Source organism: Homo sapiens, chromosome 17, assembly GCF_000001405.40.
Source record: "Homo sapiens chromosome 17, GRCh38.p14 Primary Assembly".
Classification (NCBI taxonomy): Eukaryota; Metazoa; Chordata; class Mammalia; order Primates; family Hominidae; genus Homo; species Homo sapiens.
The window spans coordinates 68,125,585-68,153,395 of record NC_000017.11 but is presented as its reverse complement, the minus strand read 5'-3'; the positions used below and the strand labels follow the sequence as shown (position 1 = coordinate 68,153,395).

The following is a 27,811-nucleotide window of genomic DNA, read 5'->3' as shown; positions in this document are numbered from 1 at the left end:
TAAAACCATCACTGTGCACGCTATGCCTATGCCAGGCACTGGAAGAAGATGAAGCACCTTCTTGGAGTTTACATGCTGGTAATTGTGCCAGACAGTAATACAATAGGTAAGAATGGCTGTGGGGGAAGTCAGCTGGGTTCTAGTTACAGTCGCATTTCAGGAAATTATTTGACATGCTGACTTTAACAACCTAAGCCTCTTCTCCATGTGTACACCCAGGGTAGATCTCTGAAGGGTGGTGCTGTAACTTCTAGGGTAATGGCTGTGTTAAGTCAAGGCAGGATGACAGTTCAGCCTCCTCCCAGGCTAGTGCAAAGGATTCTTCACTCTCCCAGACTGAATTGCCTACCCCCAATGCCCCTCCTACAGAAAATTTGGAATCCGGGCTTACTCCCTGACAGCCCCTACCTAATAGGGTGGTGAATTATCAAACATGCAACAAAAGATACCGAAAGTTTGGCGAAAATGGCAAATTTTGGAATAAATGACTGTAATGTGCGTCCTCCCTGCCACCCTAACTGGCGCCCATTTTGCAGGTCAGTTGCTGTCCTTGGAAGGAAGTGTATTCTTGGATTTCACCTTGGAGGAGGAAGAGTTCAGGCTGCCAGAACTGGACTAGAGCTTCTGAATATCCTGAGGCGGGGTCCCGTGACTTCCTTGGGAAGCTCTGCCGTGCCCCCACCCCACCCCACCACAACAGGCCCCAGGAGTCCTGGGACCACCCGGGTCTGCGGCCCAAATCCTACCTCGCTAAGGGGAGGAGAGGGGAGGGGGGAAAGGGGAGCTTGGGCGGGATTGTGACATAAGATTGCCATGGAGACATGGAGCAGATCTGGACCCAAGCCTAATAAAGGTGGCATAAAGATGTCATAAAGACTGGGCGGGGCGCACGCTTATCGCGGGTGCGAGCCTCTCCAGGCTGTTAGAATGGCTCCCACTCACTGCACAGCGCCAGCGTGTGTCATGTCCCAGCTGTGTCTCTGGGGCCCAAGGCCCTTCCTCACGTGGCAACTATTGTGGCTACTAGTCCAGGAGGCTCAGCCTCTGGAGTGGGTCAAAGACCCGCTCCAGCTGACCTCTAACCCCCGGGGCCTACTGAGCCCTAGTCTTCCTGCTCCTCCCATCTCCCATGGGAATCTCCCCATGCGTCTACTCCCTCTGCTGACCTGGAGGGCTTTGATTACGTGGCGTCGCGTCGTCTGCTTCCTCCCAGATGTCAGCCCCGCCCCAGGAATCGACTGAAAATTTGGTTCTGTTCCTGGACACGGATTCAGCTGGAGAGCTGCCCCCCGGGGTCCAGAGCAGTTCTCGGCTGCACACCAGGATCTAAATGACAAGCTGACTCCGAAGAAAAGGCACCAGAGGTGGTTCCAATGCTGGACTGGGATCAGAACTAGACCCTAGTTCAGCTTCCTCACCTCAAAAGTAAGGTTCAAACTGCAGACCTAGATCAGGCTGCAGATCATCAGGCAGATGAAATACTTGTTCCACTAGACAGTAAGGTTTCAAAAACCAACCAAATTTATTGTTTCGCCCAAGAAGCTGAAGAGAGATCTAGCTCAGCACTGGAGCCTTGCTGAGCAATTATCCAAACCTCGGTGTCAGAAACAAACTTTGCTGGATGAATATTCAAGTGTGGATATACTGTATCCCAGCAGCCTGCCTCCAGAACTCCGGTGAACTCTGATGAGCCTCTAGGGCTGCCTCCAGAGTCCTCTATGGAGAGTCTAGCTCAAACTCCACCAAATCATGAGGTGACAGTTCAACCTCCGGGTGAGGATCAAGCTCATTATAACTTGCCCAACATTACAATTTAAACCTGCAGATGTGGATGTTACCATAACTTCAGAGCCTACCAATGAGACAGAATCTTCCCAAGCCTAGCAGGAGACCCCAATTCAGCCTCCAGAGGAGGTGGAACCTTCTGCAACCCAACAGGAGGCCCCAACTGTGCCTCCCATTCCTCCTATGGAGGCTTAACTTTCCCCCAGTGAGCAGAAGCAGCCAGCTCAGCCTTCTGAGTCTTCTAGGGAGGTTGAATCTTCTCAGACCCAGCAGGAGAGCCCAGCTCAGCCTCTAGAAGAGATGGAACCTTCTGCAATCCAAGATGAGGCTCCAACTGAGCCTCCAGGTCCTCCTATAGAGCCTGAACTTTCCCCCAGTGAGCAGAAGCAGCCAGCTCAGCCTTCTGAGTCTTCTGGGGAGGTTGAATCTTCTCCAGCCCAGCAGGACAACCCTCCTATTCCCACTGAGCAGGCTGACTTTTCTCTAGCCCAGCCTGATCTCCCTTCCCCACCTCTGTGTTCTCCGGAAAAGACTGAATCTCCAGTCCAGCAAGAGGCCACAGCTCAGACTCCAGATCCCCCTAGGGAGGCAGAACCTTCTCCAGTCCAGCAAGAGTTCCCAGCTGAGCCACCAGAGCCCCCTAAGGAGGCTGAACCATCTGCAACCCAGCAGGAAGCCTCAAGTCATCCTCTGAAGTCCACTGAAGAGGTCAGTCCTCCACCACAGGGGAGATACCAGCTCAGCCATCAGAGCCACCTGAGAAGGTCAAACCATCTCCAGTCCTACAGCAGGCCCCAACTCAGCTTTTAGAGCCACCTAAAGAGGTAGAATCCTCTCCAGTCCAGCAGGCAGTCCCTGCTCAGTCTTCAGAGCCCCCTAGGGTGATAGAACCCTCTCTGACCCAGCAGATGGCCCCATCTTTGCCTCCAGAGTTCCCTCAGTAGGTGGAACCATCTCTAACTCAGCAAGAGGTTCCAGCTCAGATTCCAGAGCCCTCTATGGAGGCAGAACCTTCTCCGACCCAGCAGGAGGCCACAGTTCAGGCTCCAGAGCCCCCTAAGGAGGTAGAATCTTCAAGCCAGCAGATGGTCCCAGCTCAGCTTCCAGAGCCACCTAAGGAGGTTGCAGCTCAACCTCCAGCTCATTATGAGGTGACAGTTCCAACACCAGGTCAGGATCAAGCTCAGCATTGGACATTGCCCAGTGTCACAGTTCAACCTTTGGACCTGGGACTTACCATTACTCCAGAACCCACTAAGGAGGTTGAACATTCTACAGCCCTGAAGAAGGCTATAGTTCCTCCAAAGCACCCTAAGGTGACACTTCCACATCCAGACCAGGTTCAGATTCAGCATTTACACCTGACTCAAGCCACAGTTCAACCTGTGGACCTGGGGCTTACCATCACTCCAGAATCCACTACGGAGGTTGAACTTTCTCCAACCACGCAGGAGACCCCAACTCAGCCTCCTAAGAAAGTTGTACCCCAACTTCCAGTATATCAAGAGGTAACAATTCCAACACCAGGTCAGGATCAAGCTCAGCATCAAATATCACCCAGTGTCATAGTTCAACCTGTGGACCTGGGACTTACCATCACTCCAGAACCCACTATGGAGGTTGAACATTCTACACCCCTGAAGAAGACTATAGTTCTGCCAAAGCACCCTAAGGTGACACTTCCACATCCAGACCAGGTTCAGGCTCAGCATTCACACCTGACTCAAGCCACAGTTCAACCTTTGGACCTGGGACTTACCATCACTCCAGAATCCACGACAGAGTTTGAACCTTCTACAGCCCTGACTACAACTCCTCCTCCAAAACACTCTGAGGTGACACTTCCACCTTCAGACAAGGGTCAGGTTCAGCATTCAAACCTGACTCAAGTCACAGTCCAACCTCTGGACCTGGAGCTTACCATAACTACACAACTTACTACAGGGGTTAAACCATCTTCAACCATGGAGGAGACATCAACTCAGCCTCCAGACCTGGGGCTTCCATCACTCCAGAACCCACTACAGAGACTGGACATCTACCGCCCTGGAGAAGACTACAGCTCCTCATCCAGACCAGGTTCAGACTCTGCATCGAAGCCTGACTGAAGTCACAGGTCCACCTACTGAACTAGAACCTGCTCAGGATTCATTGGTGCAGTCTGAAAGTTACCCCAAAATAAGGCTTTAACTGCACCAGAGGAACAGAAGGCCTCCACAAGCACCAACATATGTAAGCTCTGTACCTGCAGATATGAGACGCTGCCTTGTATTGATCTCAGTCCAAAGCAGAGGTTCCGCCAAGTGCCTGTGCCACAGCCCAACACCCACAATGGCACCTTCCCCATCTTGTAAGAATCACATTTCCTCAACTGTCCTCTGTGTCCTGCCTGACATGGCAGCCTTTTCCTGGAGGCCTTCCTGGGCCTTCTTTATCTCCCTAAGCCATATTGACAACTGACTTTCTGCTTTCACCTTTGCTTGTCAACTCTCCCTTCTCTTCATTTTCCTTTACTGTTAGGCCCTTTCTCCAGTCTTTTCCTTTTACTCCAGTCTTTTACTCATGTCTTATTCATTTTTATTTAGCCCCATCACATCATTGCTTAACCGCTGCTCTCCTCCCATTTTCCCTTCACTCCCTTTACAGCAGCCTGTCCCTCTCCGCATGTCAGTGATGATGCTGTAAGTGGTTAAGAGTTTATTCTGGCGCCAGGCTGCCTGGGTTTGAACCCAGGTCTGTCATTTATTAGCTTGGTGACCCAGAGCAAGTTATTCTGCTCTGTGACTCAATTTCCTCACCTTTAAACTGAGGATTATGCTAGTTACCATTTCATAGGATTGTTGTGAAATTTAGGTGAGTGAATATATGAAACACTTCATCAGTGCCTAGCATATGTAGGATGTGTTGACTGTTAACATGATTACTCAGTCCTTTAGTTATGTCCAGAACTCATCTTTGTCCCTGGCTTTCTATATGTAGCACTCATTTTGTGTCACACCTAGGGCCAAGTATGCTACTGTCTCCAGAACACGAAAATGATAGGAGGGAAGAAAGAGAATAGGCATAAAAAGGGAGGTATATATAATTAATTACTAAAAGATAATGCAGACCATTGGTGCTATAATTTACCAGAATCTGTGATCCCTGAGGTGTGGAGACCAGGGAAAGCTACATGGATAAGCTAAAACTTTACTGGGGTCTTAAAGAGTAGTTATAATTTGTTAAATAGAAAAAAAAATGGGAGTACAGTCTAGGCAAAGGCATGGCTACAGGTATGGTTGGAATTTAGTAGACCAATCTGGCTGCAAAGAATTAGGTGAGGGAGCAATGAAGATATGATTATGTAAAATCTTGACTATCAGCTATAGGAGTTTGAAAGCTACAAAATGGGGTATGGAAAGCCATTGAAAGTTTCCAAGCAAGAGAGATTAAATGATTAAAACAAAAGGATTCTTTCATTTTGTTTTGTTTTTGCTTTATGTTCAAGTGTAAACATGCAAAGGATTATTTTAGAATCCATATGTAGAGTGCTCAAAGGGAAAATCTTATTTCAGGGAGACAAAATAGAAAGGAATAGCAAAATGTAGGAGTAAGGTGTGAAGGGGCTAAATCAGATCAGTTGTAATAAGAATGGAAAGAAAAAGCCTAGGATGTTTCAACAGAGGGCAAAGCTTTGGTGTCACCTGGCATAGGGTTTCTTTCTACTTATTTATTGATAATGATAAGCTTTTGCCCATTTTTCTGTTGAAGTATTTACCATTTTTTATGTGTAGAAGGAGTTAGTTTAGACACATAAGTGCTTTTGGATAAAGGCCTTACATTCAAAGTAATTAACTGGCATCGTCTGTCCAAGAGATGGGATGGATAGGAAGTTAAGCTTCCAGGAGATGCCTCATCATTTGTGCCAGTGGCCCGGCATTACTTCTTGATGAACTGTGCAAACTGGGAAGCTAATAGCTCTGGAAGTGAGAAAGCAGGTGTTATTTTCTGTTTCTGAATATCCCCGACAAGGTTGCCATGATTCTTTTACTTATCCTGTTCATTCTTTTCCTACCTATTCAAGGATATAAACTGTGTTTCTTCACAGAAGTTACCAAGGAAACTATATTTCCTACATTGATGGAAATGTATGGAAAGCATACAGTTGGACCAAGAAACTGTGAGTATATTCTCTCCAAATGTGACAAAAAACTAACTGCATTGTAAGATCCTTCTTGGTCCAGAATTTTGAGGTCGGTACCTCTGAGAAAAGATATTTCTCCTCCATATCCCAAATCAACCTCTGTTGATTGCGATCCTATGGTTATTTTAAAATTAAATTTGGTAGGCTCTCTTTAAAATAAGAGGCAATTTAAATTTATTTTTTATCACAGAAATAATACGTGGTTATATTCTCTTTTTTCTCTCTTTTGTTTTTTAAGAGACAGGGTCTTACTTTGTCCCCCAGGCTGGAGTGCAGTGGCACAATCACAGCTCACTGCAGCCTTCACCTCCCAGGCACAAGTGATCCTCCCACCTCAGCCTCCCAAGTAGCTGGGACCACAGGTGCATGCCACCACGCCCACCTCATTTTGTATTTTTTGTAGAGACAGGGTCTTCCTATGCCATTTAGGCTGGTCCTGAACTCCTGAGCTCAAGTGATCCTCCCACCTTGGCCTCCTGAAGTGCTCATATTACAGGCATGAGCCACCACCCCCAGGCCATGATTCTATTTTTAATGTATAAAAATGCAAAAACAGGTATAACAAAAACCCTCCTTGTGTCCTACTCCCTCATCCCTGAGGTAATGCTGCTCTGCATTTAGTATACATGCTTCCAGACTTTTTCCCATTTGCCTACATACATATTTACATAAGGCAAAATAGATTTGTTGTGTGGTTTTTAAAATCTTTTTTCTTTACCTAAATGGTAACTTCTTGCAACTTGATTCTTTTACTTCATGGTTATATATCTAATTTGACAAGTGTATCACCTATATGATATCATATACAGTATCACTTATTGTATGACATGATATTCTTTCACTTCATGATTTATTTCCTTCCCAGTACTTAGAGGGTCACCCCATTCATTTAAACTCCTGCATAATCCACGGTATGGATGCACTGTAGTTTATTTAATAATTCCCCCATTGATGAATTGTTAGATTAGGCTTAGTTTTCTTGTTACATGCGTTGCTGCAATGAAATCCCCGTACATGCTTCTTTGTGAATATGGGCAAGTATTCCTGTGGAATAGATATCTAGAAATGGAATTATTGGGGTGAAGACTATGTAGACTATGTAGATATAAAATTTTAATTGCCCCCAAAGAAGACACTTCTGGAGAGTTTATATGATGACTGTGTGCAGGATAGTTTAGGAAGGGAGAGACTAGAGATGGAGACACCAGCCAGACAACGTAACACCATCCAGGTAAAGAGGGAGGGACAACAAGCCCCATCACTGTATAACTGAAGAAATCGCTTTCATGAAATATTAAAGCAATATAAAACCAAAAATGAATTTATATTAATATGATATAAATTAATTATATTAATATGATTTGAATTAGTTCAAAGTTATGTATTAGGTAAAGGGGCAACTTCCTTTCAAATGCTGTGAAAGGATGTCTTTTATTTCTTCTGATCCTGAACTGGCTTAGGAAAACAGACCTGAACTAGGAAGGTGTATAAATGTGAGGCTATTTGTTTTAATATTAGAAACTATATATAGAGATCAAAACTTTGAGCTCATAATCTAGGATTTGATGAGACTACAAAAGGGCATCTAATCAAGTCTACTGCTCTCAGGAAAAATTAATTCCAAAGTCTATTAAGTTGTATATTTTATTTATTAAAACTATGAAGGTAAGACTCTAGGAGAGGTATGGGCAGGGTTAGGGCTCTGGAAAGTTCAAATACAAGTCCAAACGTTTAGAGTTGAAAAATGTGTATTCAATATTATTCTAAACTCTATTATTCATACTAATCGACATCTAATAACTTATCAAGGCAATATTTTCCTTTTCCTAGAGATTTATCCTGCAATAAAATACAGTCTATTGAAAGACATACATTTGAACCCCTACCATTTTTGCAGTTTATGTAAGTTACAAATATAACTTTATTGCATTTGGAATTTTTATAAAACTTAATTATAAACCTCTTTGCTATTCATTTTGAAATGATTAAAATTTGACCAGTAGAAAGGAACTAAAATTATATAGCAAACTGTTTTTGTCTCTAGCAAGGATTAGTGTGAGAATTATTACACAGATCATAGTGAATCATCAGAGAGCAGTGGTTCTCAACTGATGTGATTTTGTACTCAGGTGACATTTGGTAATGTCCAGAGACAGTTCTGGTTGATAAAACTGTGGGTGTGCTCCTGGCATCTGGTGGGCAGAGGCCAGAGATGCTGCTAAACATCCTCCAAGGTATAAGACAAACCTCCATGGCAAAGAATTATAGAGTCCAAAATGTTGATGGCACTGAAGTTGTGAAATCCTGTTCTAGAGAAATAAAGATCACTTAGCACAGATATTTACTGAGCATTCACTGTTTTGTATCTAATGCACCACATATGCAATGTTAAATTATAAATCATAAGCCAGTATCTTCCACAGGGAGATTTCTTTAGTGCTTAGAGAAAGGATTGACGTTACGTTCCATCCTATATAAATTAGACTCACAGCAAATGATAAATGCTCTGAAATAATTTTTTTTTCCTTTGGCTTATGTTTTTTTTTTTTTTGTAGAAATCTTGGTTGCAATTTACTAACAGAACTGAGCTTTGGAACATCTCAGGCCTGGCACAGAATGCAGTTTTTACACAAGTTGTAAGTGAAATAGAAGATGAATAAGTGTAAACATCTATTTATGTATAAAAACTCATACAATTATTGGTTAGCTGGGTATAAGCCCATTATGAACTCTGAAAAGTATGTCTTAAGATCCATTTGTTTTTTTCAAATGGGGAAACTAAGGTACAAAGAGGCCAAGAGACTTACATAGCTTATATATGACCTGCTCTGCTTGTCCTAGTTCTGACCTATGGCATGGGCAAGAAAAGGCATCAAACAAGTGACCCCCAAATTAGTCTTATTCCTGGGTGGGGTGGCTCAGGCCTGTAATCACAGAACTTTGGGAGCCGAGGCGGGTGGATCACCTGAGGTCAGGAGTTCAACACCAGCCTGGCCAACATAGTGAAACCCTGTCCCTACTAAAAATGCAAAAAAATTAGCTGGTTGTGGCGGTGCAGTTTTTTGCTCCCTGGGGGACTTTGTGTTAAGCTTTCTTCCTTGCAGCTAAATGTTGCAGACATTTAAGCAGTTATAAACTCTGCATATGAGCAGGAATCAAAGTTAAATCCAAAGTGTAGGGCCAGGCGTGGTGGCTCACGCCTGTAATCCCAGCACCTTGGGAGGCCAAGATGGGAGGATCACTTGAGGTCAGGAGTTTGAGACCAGCCTGGCCAACATGGTGAAATCCCGTCTCTACTAAAGATACAAAAATTAGCAGGTCGTGGTGGCAGGTGCCTGTGATCCCAGCTATTGAAAGGCTGAGGCACAAGAATGGCTTGAACCCGGGAGGTGGAAGTTGCAGTGAGCCAAGATTGTGCCACTGCACTCCAACCTTCCCTCCAGGCTGGTCTCGAACTCCTGTGACCTCAGGTGATCCACCCATCTCAGCCTCCCAAAGTGCTGGAGTTACAGGTGTGAGCCACCATGCCTGGCCAAGATAGTGTTTATATTAAGCAATTGTGCCAAAAAAAAGAAAAAATTTTGTGAAGAAAATACATCGCTCTATTTTAATTCCATATACATTCCTGACTACTCTTCTACCATAAGTGCAAGAATTCTATGATTTCTCTGTATAACATACCCAGCAAATCAGAGTGGGTATATTCAATCGCCTGAAGGGGAGTTTAGACTCAAGGTGAAGATTCTCCTCCACATCTGACTTTAGAAAAGACTTTCCACTTCTCTTGTGGTTCAGAAATCTAGTTTCACACAGTTCATTTTGAGGTAGAGGGAGGCGTTCAGGATGTGTCTGGACTAGAGCAGCAGTTTCTGCAGATGCTCCTCTCTGTCCTCATTAATTTGCTGATGCTTAACTTAGGGAAGGGGCACTGAGGGTCTGTTTTTCATTTGCTCTCACACCAGAGAACAGGCTCATTAGGTCCCTCCATCAAGAGGTTTAGGTAGCATCAATACAAATGTCTTAAATTCACCACCTTTACTAAACACTTTATACACCGGGAGTCCCTCAAAAGAATCTGGCAGCCAGGAGCAGTGGCTCATGCCTGTAATTCCAGCACTTCTGAAGGCTGAGGTGAGCGGATCACATGAAGTCAGGAGTTCAAGACCAGCCTGACTAACATGGTGAAACCCCGTCTCTACTAAAAATACAAAAATTAGCTGGGCGTGGTGGCGGGCACATGTAATCCTAGCTACTCAGGAGGCTGAGGCAGGAGAATCACTTGAACCCAGGAGGCAGAGGTTGCAGTGAGCCAAGGTCATGCCATTGCACTCAAGCCTGGGTGACAGAGCAAGATTCCGACGGAGATGGGGTCTGGCTCAGCCTGACCTCAGGCTGGTCTGGAACTCCTGACCTCAGATGATCCACCCACCTGAGCTTCCCAAAGTGCTGGGATTATAGGCCTTAGCCACCAGGCCCAGCCAATAAACGGAAACTTTAACTTAAAAGAAGGAAGGGAGGAAGGGAGGGAGGGAGGGAGGACAAGGAGGGAGGGAAGGAAGGGAAGGGAAAGAAAGAGGGAGGAAGGGAAATGAAAGAAAGAGAAAGAAAAGAAAAATTTAAAAAACCATAAGGTTAAAGTAAACCCTTTTTCTTCATACAGATTAAGCACATGAGTTCAGATTACAGCTTTGTTTCTTAATAGCTTGGTGACCTAGGACAAGTTATGTTACCTCTCTGTGCCTCAGTTTCCTCATTTATAAAATAGGGCAATAATATCTACCACATAAGGTTATTGTGAGGATTAAATGTGAAATGCTGATCACAAATACCTAGCAGCCCAATAGAAACTCACTGTAATAATTATTATTTTTATAATTTCTGCAAAAGTACAGTGATTCTTGGGTTAACCTAAAGGGTGGTTTTCTTTTATTTCTTCCTGTTTCTTTTCTTTTTCTCATTCACTTTAAAGAATTAAAAAGAAAATAGATTCCAGCATTTTGGAATAAAAATTCACATCAAAATGAATTTATTCATTTATTGACATATAAACAAAATGTCATTTGTTTATTCAATAAACATTTATTAAATCCCTAGTAAATTTCAGACATGATGCCAGTCACAGGGATGACAATGACGATAAGATGTGGTCTCTGCCCTCAAGGAGCTGATAGCCCAGGAGACTGACAAGTAGACAGATGATTATATGCAATGTAACAAAGGCTGTGATGTCATACAAGAAGACAAGTGAGAGTATGTGATAGGAGTATGGTTTTGACCAGTTCCTCCTCTTAGATTTATCCCTTTTACTTTGGCTATAAAGCAAAAGAATTGGTCCTATTTTTTTTTTCCTTAACTGTGCAAATTAAACCATAAAATTTAAAAACTTTATGAAGATAAAAGGCAAGCAGTCAGGTGCAGTGGCTCACGCCTGTAATCTTAACACTTTGGTAGGCCAAGGGGGATGGATCACCTGAGGTTAGGAGTTTGAGACCAGCCTGTCCAACATGACAAAACCCCGTCTGTACTAAAAATACAAAAATTAGCTGGGCGTGGTGGCAGGCACCTGTAATCCCAGCTACTCAGGAGGCTGAGGCAGGAGAATCGCTTGAACCCAGGAGGTGGAGGTTGCAGTGAGCCGAGATAGAGCCATTGCTCTCCAGCCTGGGCGACAGAGCAAGACTCCATCTCAAAAAACAAAAACAAAAAAAACCCGAGCAACTTGAATTATGGAGGACACTAGATATAGTGTTTCCTGCAGAGTCAGGGCTTCCTACCAACATAGTCACTTCTAGGGTTTTTGACCTGAAAAGTTCTGCAGCATATTTTTTCTTTGCTATCCGCTTGTTTTTTTTTTTTCTATTTCTTCCCCTCTTTCTCTCCTCTATCTTCTAGAGACCTAGGTAGTTCCCAAAGGAATAGTGCTTTACAGATTCTAATGGTGATTTATTAGGTAAAAACAGAAAATGATTTTTTTAACCTAAAAGTTCCATAACAAAAAATGAATATAAGCTTTTGATGCAGTTTCACACATTGAAAATGCAGGTAATTTTAATTTCATTGCATTTTTATCAGAATTCTCAATCACAATCCTCTGACAGCTGTTGAAGATCCGTAGCTCTTGGAACTGCCGGCATTAATATATCTGTAAGTACTATAGTACTCTCATGAGTCATGAGATGACTTATGCTCTTTTAAATTTGTCATCAAAGATTAAGTATTTTGCATTTAGGCTAAAAAGTCATAAATTTTAACTGAGTTATTGAAAAAAGTTATTGGCAAAGAAAAGGATTAAGAAAAGATGTGTAATGGTCAAGACAGCCAGCAGCAGCAGAGGAAGAGAACCGTGTTGAAAAACCTGTATAGATTTGGAACATGTAGACATATGGAGGAATACTACTTAACCAAGAAAGCAAAGAGGAATAGGTGTTCATTATTCTAAAAAGGAAGAAAAGAGTAAATAATCAAAATGGGTGAATGCAATATGAAATGAGAAGATAATGGTAAAAAATAAGTGTAAGTTCTACTCTTAAGTATCATTAAATTTGATGATGCAGATCAACTTAAATTTCTTTAATAAGAGCTCTCTGGAATTTTACAGCAAATAAACTGTTGAACTGGCTTGTTTTATAGAGAAGCCAAAATTGAAGTAGTCACATGTCCTTGAAATATCTTTTTAAGGACAGAATTTTGGTATTGGGCTTCATATCATGAATGTTTCGGCTTTCTTCTTCAGATACATGGGAACAACACAAGTCCCACTTACAACAATTAAGAACATTCTCAGGATGACTGTTGAATTGGAAAAACTGTAAGTTATTTTTTTCTTAGATTTATTTTTACTTAGTTGGTTTTTTAGGTTTGTTTTATTATTTTCTTAAGTCAGGTTTATTGAGATATAATTTTCACATAACATTCACCCTTTATAAGTGTATAGTTTGATTAGTGTTTTTGTTTGGGTTTTTTTGAGATGGCGTCTCACTCTGTCACCCAGGCTGGAGTGCAGTGGCGCAATCTTGGCTCACTGCAAGCTCCGCCTCCTGGGTTCACGCCATTCTCTTGCCTCAGCCTCCCGAGTAGCTGGGTCTACAGGTGTCCACCACCACACCCGGCTAATTTTTTGTATTTTTAGTGGAGACGGGGTTTCACCGTGTTAGCCAGGATGGTCTCGATCTCCTGACCTCGTGATCTGCCCGCCTCAGCCTCCCAAAGTGCTGGGATTACAGGCATGAGCCACCACGCCCGGCGCTACTTTGATGAGTTTTGACAAATGTATAGTTACATAACCACCACCACATTCCCAATATAAAGCATTTCTGTCACCTCAAAAAGGCCCCTCGTGTCCCTTTGTAGGCAATCCCCTCCTCCCACCATCAGCCCCTGTTAGCTACTAATCTGATTTCTGTTCCTATAGTTTTGCGTTTTTCAGAATGTCTTATAAATGAAATCATGTAGCATGTAGCCTCTTGTGTTTGGCTTCTTTCACTTAGTACTGCTTTTTTTTTTTTTTTTTTTTTTTTTATAAGATGGAGTCTCACTGTCACCCAGGCTGCAGTGCAGCGGCGTGACCTCAGCTCACTGCAACCTCCACCTCCCAGGTTCAAGCAATTCTCCTGCCTCAGCCTCCCAAGTAGCTGGGATTACAGGCGTGTGCCACCACGCCCAGCAAATTTTTGTACTTTTAGTGGAGACGAAGTTTCACCATGTTGGCCAGACTGGTTTCGAACTCCTGACCTCAAGTGATCCGCCCACCTCGGCCTCCCAAAGTGTTAGGATTACAGGTGTGAGCCACCTTACCCAGCCTCACTTAGCATAATTTTTTTGAGATTATGCTACCATCCATGTTGTTGCACCTCCATATCTGCAGGTTCCTCATCCATGGATTCAACTAACAATGGATGGAGAATATTTGGGAAAAAATAAAAATATGTAAAATAATAATACAACAATAAAAACAATAGAAAATTTATGGTATAATTATTTACATACCATTTACACTGTATTAGGTATTTAAAGTATACCCGAGGCTTATGTCATTTATTATATCAAGTATTATGTCATTTCATATAAAAGACTTCAGCATCTGTGGACTTTGGTATCCGCAGGGGGTCCTGGAGCCAATCCCCTGCAGACACCGAAGGACAACTGTTCACTCCTTTTTATTGCTCAGTAGTATTTCAGTTGTGTGGACGTATCAATGTGTTTATCCATTCATCAATGTATGGACATTTGGGTAGCTTCCAGTTTTTGGCAATTTTGAATAAAACTTCTAAAAACACTCATATACAGGTCTTTGTGTGAACCTATGTTTTCATTTCTTTGGGTAAATACCAGGAGTTGGATGGTTCACATGCTTAGTGTATATTTAACTTTTTAAGAAACTGCTAAACTGTTTCCTAAAGTGGCTGTGCCATTTTACATTTCCACCAGCATTGTATGAGAGTCACAGTTATTCCACATCCTCAGCATTTTTTTTTTTTTTTTTTTTTTTTTTTTTTGGCGACACAGTCTTGCTCTGTCCCCAGGCTGGAGTGCAGTGGTGCCATCTTGGCTCACTGCAACCTCTACCTCCTGAGTTCAAACAGTTCTCCTGCCTCAGCCTCCCAAATAGCTATAGGCACCTGCCACCACACCCAGCTAATTTTTGTATTTTTAGTAGAGACGGGCTTTCACCATGTTCGCCAGGCTGGTCTTGAACTCCTGACTTCATTTGATCCACCTGCCTAGCCTCCCAAAGTGCTGGAATTATAGGCGTGAGCCACCATGCCTGGCCCAGCAGATTTTTCTTTTTTTTTTTTTTTTCTGAGACAGAGTCATTGCTGGAGTGCAGCAGCAAGATCTCAGCTGACAGCAACCTCTGCCTACCAGGTTCAAGCGATTCTCCTCCCTCAGCCTCCTGAGTAACTGGGATTATAGCTGCGCACCACCACGCCCAGCTAATTTTTGTATTTTTAGTAGAGATGGGGTTTCATCTTGTTGGCTAGGCTGGTCTCGAACTCCTGGCCTCACTTGATCCACCCGCCTTAGCCTCCCAAAGTGCTGGGATTACAGGCGTGAGCCACCATGCCTGGCCCAGCCCAGCAGATTCTTATATTTGAGTTTTTAAAGAAATATTCACCTTTCTACTGCTAGATGTGTAGTGGAATCTCATTCTGGTTTTAATTTGCATTTCTTTAATAGCTAGTGATATACAATATTCATGTGCAAATATCTTTACTAAATTGTTCAAATCTATTCGCATATTTTAATTGGATATTAATATTTTTATTGAGGTTTTTTTCCCTGTAATCCCGTGAGACATTCGTCATTATTGAGTTTTAAGAGTGCTTTAGGCCAGGCGTGGTGGCTCATGCCTGTAATCCTAGCACTTTGGGAGGCCAAGGCGGGTGGATCACGAGGTCAGGAGATCAAGACCATCCTGGCTGACATGGTGAAACCACGTCTCCAGTAAATAAAAAAAAAAAAAAAAAAAAATTAGCCGGGCATAGTGGCGGGCACCTATAGTCCCAGCTACTCGGGAGGCTGAGGTAGGAGAATGGCGTGAACCGAGGGGGCGGAGCTTGCAGTGAGCAGAGATCACGCCACTGCACTCCAGCCTGGGCGACAGAGTGAGACTCCGTCTAAAAAAAAAAAAAAAAAAAAAAGACTGCTTTATAGATTCTAGATACAAGTCTTTTCAGGGACTAGGTACAGTAGCTCATGCCTATAATCCCAGCACATTGGGAGGCTGAGGCAGGAGGACTGCTTGAGGCCAGGAGTTTTAGACCACCTGGGCAATATGGTAAAACCTTGTCTCTACCAAAAATATAAAAATTAGCCAGGTGTGGTGGTGCTCACCTGTGGTCCCAGCTACTTGGGAAACTGAGGTGGGAGGATTGCTTGAGCCTGGGAGGTCGAGGCTGCAGTGAGCTATGATCACCACTGCAGTCCAGCCTGGGTCACAGAGTGAGATGCTATCTCAAAAATTAAATACGTAAATAAATAAAAACAAAAAACAAGGCCTTATAGATATGTGTTTGGTAAATATCTTCTCTCTGGTTGTGGTTTGTCTTTTCATTCTGTTAAAAGTGTTTTCTGGCTGGACACAGTGACTCACACCTCTAATCCCAGCACTTTGGGAGGCCAAGGCAGGTGGATCACTTGAAGTAAGGAGTTCGAGATCAGCCTGGCCAACGTGGCAAAACCCCCATCTCTACTAAAAATACACAAGTTAGCCAGGTGTGGTGGCCCACGCCTGTAATCCCAGCTACTCCAGAGGCTGAGGCACAAGAAGTGCTTGAACCTGGGAGGTGGAGGTTGCACTGAGATGTGACTGCACCACTGCACTCCAGCCTGGGTGACACAGTGAGACTCTGTCTCAATAAATAAATAAATAAATGTTTTCTGAAGAGCAGACGTTTTTAATTTTGATCAGCTTTAAGTTAGCAATTTTTTCTTATATGGCTTGTGCTTTTTTGTTTCTTACCTAAAGAAATCTTTAAGAACCTGTTGTTTAATCCAAAGTAGAAAAGATTTACTCTCTATGTCTTCTCCCAGAAATTGTATAGTTACATCATTTAGGTCTATGATCCATTTTGAGTTAATTTATATGGTGTGAGTTTTTTTTTTTTTCAATTTTATTTTTTGGAGAAACGAGGTCTCACTGTGTTGCCCAGGCTGGTTTCAAACTCCTGGCTTCAAGTGATCCCCCTGCCTCATTCTCCCAGAGTGCTGGGATTACAGGCATGAGGCACCATGCCTGCTTCTTTGTAGATGTAGCTATAGATATATATGTATCTATATATATATATATATCTATATCTTCGCCAAGTGTGGTGGCACATGCCTGTAGTCCCAGCACTCTGGGAGAATGAGGCAGGAGGATTGCTTGAATCCAAGAGGTAGAGGTTGCAGTGAGCCAAGATGGCACCACTGCACTCCAGCCTGGGTGACAGAGCAAGACCCTGTCTAAAAAAAAAATATATATATATATATATATGTATTTCTCCAGGGCCCTATTGGGAGTTTGTTACACAACTTACTGCAACTTAAATTGTGCCACCACCACCCCCATCCCCCCACAATATGCAAGCTAAATAGAAACTCAGTTATGCTAAGGCTGGTTGAGGGCATTATACAAGATTAGCCCTTCATTTAGTACTCTGCTCCATTCATTTTTGTCAGGTCACTTTCTTACCTTCACCACGTTGTTAGATCTGTTTTACTGCTCTAGGCTCACTTTCCTCAGCCTCCTGCAGCATCTTTCTGTCAGCTAGATCCCTTCCTCTCTGGATGAAGTCCTCTTCACTGACCAGCTTTCTCACTTAGTTCTCTAAGATAGTGAGGATCTGTCTGCTTTTTTCTTGACCATTAGTGTATAGGAAAAATGCTCTCATTGTCTGTAACCATTTGTCGCCAAGGCCATAAAGACATTGAACTAATTGCCTTATTGGAGTTCATTATTGGAAGTCTTCAGGAGTTTACACATTTATATACAAAGTAAGTAGACCAGCTCATTTGTCTTAGCTCATGTGTAATGATCTTTAATGCATATTGAAAAATTACTATTCTCAAGTAAAGATAATGTATACCTCAGGTCATTTACAGTCTCAAAGGTTTGTCAGTATGCTTTTAAACAATCCTGGGAACAGATCTAGATTGAAGGAGACTAAAGAATCATGAACTCGAGGCGGCGCCGGGGCGGGCGCCGAGCTGGCAAGCGGGTGGTGGAGGCGGTGCTGATGGGGGCCGCTGAGGCGCGCAGAGGGTTGGTGGTGCCCGGGAGCCTGTCGCTGGCGGGGTCTGGGCAGGGGGGTCTGGGCGGAAGGTTCCGCGGCAGGAGGCAGCATGTCGGTTGCCGGGCTGAAGAAGCAGTTCTACAAGGCGAGCCAACTGGTCAGTGAGAAGGTCGGAGGGGCTGAGGGGACCAAGCTGGATGATGACTTCGAAGAGATGGAGAAGGTGGATGTCATCAGCAAGGCGGTGACGTAAGTACTGTCCAGGACCATCGAGTACCCGCAGCCCAACCCAGCCTCGCAGGCTAAACTGACCATGCTCAACACCGCGTGCAAGATCCGGGGCCAGGTGAAGAACCCCGGCTACCTGCAGTCAGGGGGGCTCCTGGGCGAGTGCCTGATCCGCCATGGGAAGGAGCTGCGCGACGAGTCCAACTTCAGCGATGCACTGCTGGATGCCGGCGAGCCCATGAAGCACCTGGCAGAGGTGAAGGACTCCCTGGACATAGAGGTCAAGCATAACTTCATTGACCCCCTCCAGAACCTATGTGAGAAAGACCTGAAGGAGATCCAGCACCACCTGCAGAAGCTGGAGGGCCGCCGCCTGGACTTTGACTAAAAGAAGCGGCAGGGCAAGATCCCCGAAGAGGAGCTGCACCAGGCGCTGGAGAAGTTTGAGGAGTCCAAGGAGGTGGCAGAAACCAGCATGCACAACCTCCTGGAGACCGACATCCAGTAGGTGAGTCAACTCCCGGCCTTGGCAGAGGCGCAGCTGGACTACCACCGGCAGGCCGTGCAGATCCTGGACCAGCTGGCCCAGAAGTTCAAGTGCAGGATCCGGGAAGCTTCCTCACGACCCAGGCGGGAGTATAAGCCCAAGCCCCGGGAGTGCTTTGACCTCGGAAAGCCTGAGCAGTCCAACCGGGGCTTCCCCTGCACCACAGTCCCCAAGATCGCAGCTTCGTCCTCTTTCCGATCTTACGACAAGTCCATCTGGACTCCTAGCAGGAGCATGCCGCCCCTAGACCAGCCGAGCTGCAAGGGCTGTATGACTTGGAGCCGGAGAAAGATAGGGAGCTGGGCTTCCATGAGGGCGATGTCTTCATGCTGATCAACCAGATGAACGAGAACTGATACGAGGGCATGCTGGACGGCCAGTCGGGCTTCTTCCTGCTCAGCTATGTGGACGTGCTCGTGCCTCTGCCCAGTGACTCAGGGGCGCCCCCGCCCTGCCCCTCCATCCACACTGGGTGGCACCCCCTGCTGGGTATCCTGCCTTCCACGGGGCCCCTGCTGCCAGGGCAGTGTCCAAGCCTGCTGGCGCCACCCAGGCCGGGGCCCTTGAGGTACTCCCTGAGCAGGGCTCCACACTTGGGTGGGGGGCTTATCTGGGTGGGTGGAGATGCTCGTTTACACTAGCGGCTGATCCCCAACAGTGACGGCTCCCTTCCCCACTCCATGGCGCCGGCCTCCTCCCCGCTCCCCAACTCCTTGCCCAGCTGGCTGAGGCAGAGCAACACTAAGGTGCTCTCAGAAACACTAACGTTCCTCCAGGGCAGCCCCCACACCTCCATCCTGAACCCACGGTGGCCCAGCCCACTGCCTACCCTCGAGTTCCACGGCCTTAACAGGCTTGGATCAAGCGTCCCTGTGGGGTGGCTCAGAGACAGGACTCTGGTTTTAAATCCTCCCCGCGCCTGGTGCTGGCGATGAGCCCTAGCCCCACTCCAGGGCCACTGTATCCCAGCCTCACACATGCACTCCTTCTCCCCAAGGCCAGGGCAGAAGGCCTCACTGCTTCCCTGGCCTGCTGTCAGCTTGCAGCCCAGGGACAGGGGCCAGTTGGGATCTGCCCCACCTTCCCCCCCCCAACACCTCCCCCCTCCTAACCAGGACAGAGAACATGACGTCCTGCAGGGCCCCGCCTCCCAAGCCTTGCCCTCACAAAGCCAAGTACCTTTTCGGCTTTTTAACTGCCCCCAGCCAGGCCCACAGAAGCCTGTGTCACTCTGGCACAAGCTGCCACCACCAGCCACCTACACAACCCTCAGCACACCTTGCACGGGACCACAGCCCCAGCTGTGCTGCTGAGGGCCAAGCACAAAGGCTCCAGTGAGCAAATCTTCAAGCCCCTAGTGGCCACCCCACCCTGTGGGAAGTAGCCGCAGCCATCTCCTCTAGACCATGGCAGGCAACCCCGGGGTTCCCAAACCCCTGCCCAGACCAGCAGGTCTGCAGCCCAGACATCTGCTTCCTCTGTTGCCCAATCCAAAACTGATGAAATGGAGGGTCCTCTGGGCCGGGCCACATTCACATTCCCCTCCCCCTGAGGCCCAGCGAAGCCTCCAGACCCCAGGCTCTGCTCTGCACCCTCCACGTCAGCAGTACATGAGGGCACAGACATCCTGGCAGAGATGAGCACACAGCCTTGGGCACGGTTCAGGGCAAACTGAAATGTATGCCTGAATTTTGTAAACAGAAGTATTAAAGGTCTTTCTACAAAAAAAAAAAAAAAAATCATGAACGCTAAATGCAATGTCTGATGTTGGATTGGATTCTGAATTTTTTAAGCCATGTTATGATTGGGACAATTGTGAAAATGTGTATATGGGCTGCATAGTAGACAATGATAATATGAAGTTCCATTGGGTGATGATAGTCCTCTGGTTATGCAGGAGAATGCCTTGCTTCTTAGGGGCTGCACACTGAAGTCTTTAATGGCAAAGGGTCATTTTGTCTGCAACTGACTCTCAAATGGTTTGTCCAGAAAATGTATAGACATACACACATGGAAAGCAAATGTGGCAAAGTATTAGCAACTGTTGATTCCAGATGAAAGTTATACAGGTGTTCATTATACCATCTGAAAATGCTTCCTAGCCATCCTAAGGCTTAAAGGAAAAAAAGAAAATGTTTAAAATCAAAAGTCGGGGGCAGGAAAAGAATAACAATTAAACTTCAGGCTCATGCCTGTAATCCCAGCACTTTGGGAGGCCAAGGAGAGAGGGTTGCTTGAGCTCAGGAGTTTGAGACCAGCCTGGGCAACATGGTGAAACCCCATCTCTACAAAAAATACAAAAATGAGCCAGGCATGGTGGCACTCACCTGTAGTTCTAGCTACTCAGGAGGCTGAGGTGGGAGGATCATTTGAGCCCAGGAGGCAGAGGCTGCAGTGAAGTGAGATTGCACCACTGCACTCAGCCTGTGTAACAGAGTGAGACTTGGCCTCAAAACAAAAGAAACACTTTTGTGTCAGAGTTAAGGTTGCTATATAAGTAAAATGCTAGGTTACGGTTCTGGGTACATTCAATCTGTATGAAGATCAGAGACCTCTATTGGACCCAAAGGAATACTAGTCACTTGTGATTATTCCTCTATAGGTTTGAAAGATGTGTCAGACCAACTTATTGGATGCAGTTTTAATCTAAAACTCCATAAATTGTACCCCCAACTCATAGACTTCATTTATCTGTTGAATACTCTTCTGTTTCCACAGTCTTAATGTGGCCCTAATAAAGTCATCCTTTTGGAGGACTCAGAAAAGGCCCCCCCACAACCTCTGTAATGTAATAATTACAGTAGTTAACATTTATTGAGCACTCACTGTGTGTCAGGCATTTTTCAGGTACTGATTCATCTAATCCTCAAAACTCATTAGAGGTAGGTACTATTATAATGACAAGGCCAAGGAACAGAGATTAATCAATGTGCCCAAATTCACATTATTCACAGAGCTGGGATTTAAGCCTAGTCTGGCTGTGGAATCTGTATTCTTAATGACCATGCTATATTGCTTAAGATTAACCTTGAGAATTTACTCCAGTTACAAAGATTGTTTTTATTTCTCTGAAACTGCCCCCAATGAGCCATAACAATAAATTAATCAATTATCTTGGTTATCTCTTTTGCCCAAGTTTATATTTCAAAAAAAATTCAAACATACCAGAAAGATGAAAGAATAGCACAGAATCCAATCAAAGATTAGGCACTGCATGTCATGTCTTCATTTCCTTTAATCTAAAACATTCCTCTACTTTTTTTGATCTTTCATGACATGGCATTTTTTAAGAGTCAAAGATAGTTGTTTTGTAAATTGTCCCATAATCTGGATTTGTCTGTTTCCACATGATGAGATTCAAGGTAAGCATTTTTGGGAAAAATACTGCATAGGTGATATATCCTTCCTGCCTCGTGATTGCAGGTGGCTCATAATGCTAAGTTTGATCACTTGTTTAAGGTGATCTTCCAGATCTCTCCATTGTAGTTATTTTGCTGGGTGTGGTGGCTCATGCTTATAATCCCAGCACTTTGGAAGGCCGAGACGGGCAGATCGCTTGAGTCCAGGAGTTTTAGACCAGCCTGAGCAACAAGGTGAAACCCTGTCTCTACTAAAAATACAAAAAAAAAAAAAAAAAAAAAAAAAAATTAGCTGGGTGTGGTGGTACAAGACTATAGTCCCATATACTTGGGGGGCTGAATTTGGAGACTCACTTGAGCCCAGGGTGGGGGTCGAGGCTGTTGTGAGCTACGATTTTGCCACTGTATTTCAGCCTGGGTGACAGAGTGAGACTTTGTCTCATAAAAAAATAAAAAATAATTTTTCCCTTTGGTAATTAATAAAATATCTGTGTGGTGGTACTTTGAGATCAGTAAAGATCCTGTTCTCAAATGTCTTCTCACCCAGCTGTGTCCATCAATGACAATCCTTGTCTGAATCAATTTTTATTACATTGGTGGTTGCAAAGTAACACTTTTTAAAATTCTGTCATTCCTTCTACATTCATTAGCTGGCATTATTTCATTAAAGAACAACTCCCTCTCTTTTTAAATATCATTCTTCATGGATTCTTTTTTATATATTAATTATGTTGTAGCTTATTGTTACTCTTTTGAATGCTCAAATTGTCGAGATTTGGCCAATGCAATCTGTTATTTTTTTAACCCCACAATCCAGGTTAAACTGAGCTATTTTTAATGCCCAGAGTAATTTCTAATATTTCCCACTGCCAACAGAAATTGAGAAAGGGACTCCAGAAGTTGGGGGCTTATTCAGACTCTTCTTAGAAGTCTACTTTCTTCCTGTGTACTTTCAGCCCAAAGTGAGACTTTTGAGTTGGGAAGAGATACTTCTGAATTAAACTACTGATCAGTGTCACCCAATTCTAATCCCAACCACTTTTATTCTAGGCATACCATACTCACTGCCATGCTTACCCTTCAGTTGGGCACCTTTGTCCTCCTTCCCATTGCCCTTCTGGTTCCTACCCAACTGTCCAGTCCACAGGCCTCAGTAACACCTTTCTGCCCAGCCCTGTGGTAGCGTTGGCCTGCCTCCTTTGCCTACTCAAGTAACTGCTTTACCACTATTTATTGTTTTGTGTTTTCATCTTATAGGATCTTACCTAGCCATATGGCCTGCTGCCTCTGCCAATTTAAAAATAGCATTGAGGCTGTCTGCAAGACAGTCAAGCTGCATTGCAACAGTGCATGTCTGACAAACACCACACATTGTCGTGAGTCCAAATTGCCTGGTGATAAATTGTTACATTATTTTAAGTATTTGTTTTTAAATTTATTTTTAATTGATGATAAAATTTTAAGCTAATGATATAATTGCTTTATTTACTCATTCAGATTTAAACTCCCTCAACTTCTGAACTACTCCCTTGCTGGGAGTCAGGTTCTCAGTTATTATTACAAAATTTAATAATGGAACTGTTCCATATGCATAAAGGACCAAGAGAAGGGAATGAGAAGGCTAGGGAATGACATTAACATCCACACCCTGTGTATTGTGCTCCCTACTTGGTGATTTGCCCCCAGTGATAATTTCTTCATATAGTGCGATGTAGTTTGTAAGCTGGTTTTATATGCATGAGGTCTCAAGTACTCTCTGCCTTTTAGGACAAATGTAGATCCAGTTTTGTTTTTGTTTTTACAATTTTATAAGAGTACAAGTGATGCTGTTTTATTTGAAGCCTGAGAGCTTCTGGTTCCATAACCAGAAATTGCTCCCTGGCTCTTCTAATGGAATGGAGGGCTTTTCCATTCTTAGACCATCCAACTCTGAACTTGCTCTGAATCTCAAACCTTTCTATTCACAGAACAAATGCTCAAGTGCTTTCAAGAGTTTTTCTGTAGATTAGGTTTATTAGCACCAACTTCATGACTTCTAAAATGTGACTGCTTTTATGTCCACATAGCTTGAATACAGGTATCTACCAGTGATATGGGGTGGATAATTAATAATGCTTGGCTACTTATATAAAGACAGAGTTGCTTATTATTCAAAAGTTTTTTTTTTACCAACTAAATTATTCCCTTCTCCCCAAGAGGTGGGCAGAAAAGCATTGTTAATCTCCTTTTACGGACGAGGAAAAACAAGATCAGAGGTGCTAAGTGCTATAGCTTAGTGCCAGGTCTTCTGTCCCCAATTCTGGGTTCTCCCCAAGCCCATGTTTCTCCTTTCTCACAATTTTTACTTCTTCCTCTGACCCTCAGCACCACCCAAAATACTTTTAATTCTGGAAAAGAAACCCAGCTGCACACTGGCACACTTGACCTTCATGCGGCCAGAAGCTTTGGATGGTTCCCCATCCAAAATATTAGAGATGAAATGAAAGCAAAGTAAGCATCTGACAAAAGCTGCTTTTTCCCTTCTGCATTTTAGGACCTCAAGTAATGTTTATCCAGAAACTGCTATCATACCATAGATTCATTGTATATTTAACAACATAGGCATACCATCTGGCAAATTAAAAATCTCTTAACCTATACCCTGGATCTCTGCCCAAATTTAAGAAAAGGACTAGGGTGGGCACAGTGTTTTTTCCATGTCACTTCTTCTTTAATGGGGCTACGATATGTGGTAGCAGAGAATGGGGTGGGTGGGTGGAGTGCATGCCAGATGAGGATCTATCAGCAATGGGAGGGGGCCTCCACTTTAGCATCTCCACCCTGCTCCTCTCAGAGGATAGCCTTTCATTGCATTCAGCTGTGATGGTAGTAAGAACACAGGCACACTGAGGATGAGGAGGGAGGCTTGTGCTCTCTCTGCATCTGAGGCAGGACAGCACAGGGTACGGAGCAGTCTGCAGAGAGGACAGCTCATCAGGGAAGCACTTGTCTTCCACCTTGGGCTTTGACTGAGCACTGGGCAATTGGCCCCTGGGGATCAACGAAATAATCCTAAGCAGAGTTACTCTATGTCACACTAGGAATGTTCCAAGTAAGTAGCCATATTTTCAAAAGATGTCTTTTCCTCCTTTTGTTGTTGCCATTTCATAGATTTAGGCTTGGGTGTGTGTTTCTCCTCTCTGAATGGCACTCTAATGTTTGCTGACTCCTACTTTGTGTGACTGGGGCATACAGCTGTGGACTGATGCATGCCGTTCCATTATCTTTCATGATCAAAGCAGTCTCTTTTTTTTGACAGGTGAAGAAGCATCTGTAGGGAATCCAGAAAGAGTGTTCATGAAGGTGTTACAAGCCCAGAAGAAGCACATGAGCATTGAGCTGACTACTGAGCCGGAGGCAGCCTCAGACAGCAGTGGCATCAACTTGTCAGTCTTTGGGAGTGAGCAGCTAGACACTTATGATAAGAGTGATGTTATCACTGCGCTAAATTACATCTTGCCTTATTTCTCAGCAGGAAATCTAGATGCGGAATCAATGTTGTTACCATTCATTAAACTGCTTTTTTCAAATGTGCAAGATGGAGATAAGCTCCTGTTTTGAAAAACAATACAAAGAGCCCCTTGTTTCAACCTGCATCCAACAATTCAACTTATGAAAATAAATTGAGAAAGGTGTATTTGCTAGAAAAGATGTTAGATGCAGAAATACAAGAAAAAAATCGATGAAGTTAAAAGGGAAGAAAAAACTGCCATGCTTATGCAGTCCAGCCTTCTAGGTAACAAATTTAAATGCCAAATATTTGAAAAGAAATTAGAAACTGTCCAACCACAGGAAAACAGCCTGGCAAAGGTTCAAAGTGTAGGCAAAAACCTGCAGAGAGTGAACAGAGTCCTCATGGGCCCAAGGAGCATCCAGAAAAGGCCCTTCAAAGCGGTGGGAAAGCAGAGTATCAGGAGGGAACAGGGTGCCCAGGCATTTGGGGAGAATGCTGCCAAAGAAAAAAGGCTCGGGAGTCCAGCCCCAAGGGAGCTGGAATAGCCTCACATAGTGCAGGGGCCCGAGAACGTAGCGGGAAACGCCGTCTACACCAAGCCTTCATTCACCCAAGAGCAGAAGCCAACAGTCTCCTCTTTGCTGAAACCCTTCTCCATGGGCATGCCTTCTGCCTTCCACAACTGCAAAAGCCCTACCTCAGGTCATAGACAGATTGAAAGACTTAGCCTACACCATTTTAATTTTAGAAAATGCAAAGGCTAGAGTTAAAAAATATGAAGGCTGCTAAACGAGTAGTACATTCCAGAAAAAAATACCACTTTCATAAAACTCACTCCCGTGTGGCCCACAGAACACCCAAGGCCAAAAAGATTAGAAAATTGAGAAAGAAAAGTTATCTCAATAGACTGATGCTCGCAAAGAGGCCGCCGTTCTCTGCAGTGAAGAGCCTCATAAATTCCCCTTCACAAGGGGCTTTTTCATCCTCAGGAGACCTGAGTCCTCAAGAAAACCCTTTTCCAGAAGTATTTGCTCCTTCAGAATGTTTTATAGAAAACACTACTGTAAAAAACACAACTGCAAGAAATGCCTCTGAAGAAAACGTTTTTATGGAAAACACTACTATGCCAGAAGGCACCATCTCTGAAAACACAAACTACAATCATCTTCCTGAGGCAGATTCCCACTAGGACTGCATTCAACTTAGAGCCAACTGTTAAACAAACTGAGACAAAATGGGAATACAACAACGTGGGCACTGACCTGTCCCCCGAGCCCAAAAGCTTCAGTTACCCATTGCTCTCATCCCCAGGTGATCAGTTTGAAATTCCGCTAACCCATCAACTACAGTCCGTCATCCCCAACAACGATGTGAGAAGCTTCATTTCTCATGTTATCTGGACCTTGAAGACGGACTGCTCCGAGACCTATGTGCAAGTGACCTGTGCCAAGCTCATCTCCAGGACAGGCCTCCTGATGAGGCTTCTCAGTGAGCAGCAGGAAGTAAAGGCGTCCAAGGCAGAATGGGATACAGACCAGTGGAAAACTAAGAACTATATTAATGAAAGCACAGAAGCCCAGAGTGAACAGAAAGAGCAGAAGTCGAGTGAGGTGAGGACCACACAGAAACATGAGACCCAGACTTTCCCATCATTTAGCATATGCCAGGAAAGTGCCCACACAGGAGAACCTGGGACTCCCAGGCCATAGTTTGTCTTGGCCATGTAACTTTGGCCATGACAGTGATCTCCCACTTTGTTCATTTAGAGAGTGAAACAGATTAGTGCACAGGATGAACTGTAGGCTGGGCATGGTAGCTCACGCCTGTAAACCCAGCACTTTGGGAGGCCGAGGTGGGTAGATCACTTGAAGTCAGAGGAGTTTGAGACCAGCTTGACCAATATAGTGAAACCCTATCTTCACAAAAAATACAAAAATTAGTTGGGTGTGGTGACTTGTGCCTATAATTCCAGCTACTCTAGAGGCTGAGGTGGGAGGATCACCTGAGCCCAGGGAGGTCGAGTCTGCAGTGAACTGTGATCACACCACTGTACTCCAGCCTGGGTGACAGAGTGAGACCCTGTCTCAAAAAAAAAAAAAAAAGAACCTGTAAGCTACTCAACTAGAATACTGGGGTTTTGAAAAGTTAGCTTTCACTCTTTTTTTAATTGTTCTTTCCTTTTTTCTTTTTTTTTTTTTTTAGCTCACGAAAGAAGTTCCAGGATATGGCTATAACAACAAACTAATCTTGGTGATATCTGTGACTGTAATACTAACGATTTTGATTCTAATTTTTTGTCTTATTGAGGTAAGGACAATAATTAATTCAGGTTTTCAGAAAGCAATCCTGTCTTTGTGTGGATTCAGAACCCACAAACTGAAAACCAAAGCCACTTCCCCACTTGACATTCTTCTTCAGTCGTTTAAGGCTGAGGTATGCTTTGTTCTTTTACTGCAGTGTATATTCCAGGATTTTTAAAGGATCCTCGCTTCCAAGAGATCT

The 27,811-nt window shown here is 44.2% G+C and overlaps 1 long non-coding RNA gene and 2 pseudogenes across 1 annotated transcript in view; 2 read left to right on the top strand and 1 right to left on the bottom strand.

The window, feature by feature from the left end:
• Nucleotides 925-26,921, top strand: LRRC37A16P (leucine rich repeat containing 37 member A16, pseudogene; annotated as a pseudogene).
• The window catches only part of LINC00674 (long intergenic non-protein coding RNA 674), a 34,375-nt gene continuing 24,030 nt past the window's right edge, over nt 17,467-27,811 (bottom strand). Inside the window, exon 6 of the long non-coding RNA NR_027418.1 lies at nt 17,467-27,811. This is a non-coding gene — a long non-coding RNA (long intergenic non-protein coding RNA 674).
• SH3GL1P3 (SH3 domain containing GRB2 like 1, endophilin A2 pseudogene 3) lies at nt 17,631-20,180 on the top strand (annotated as a pseudogene).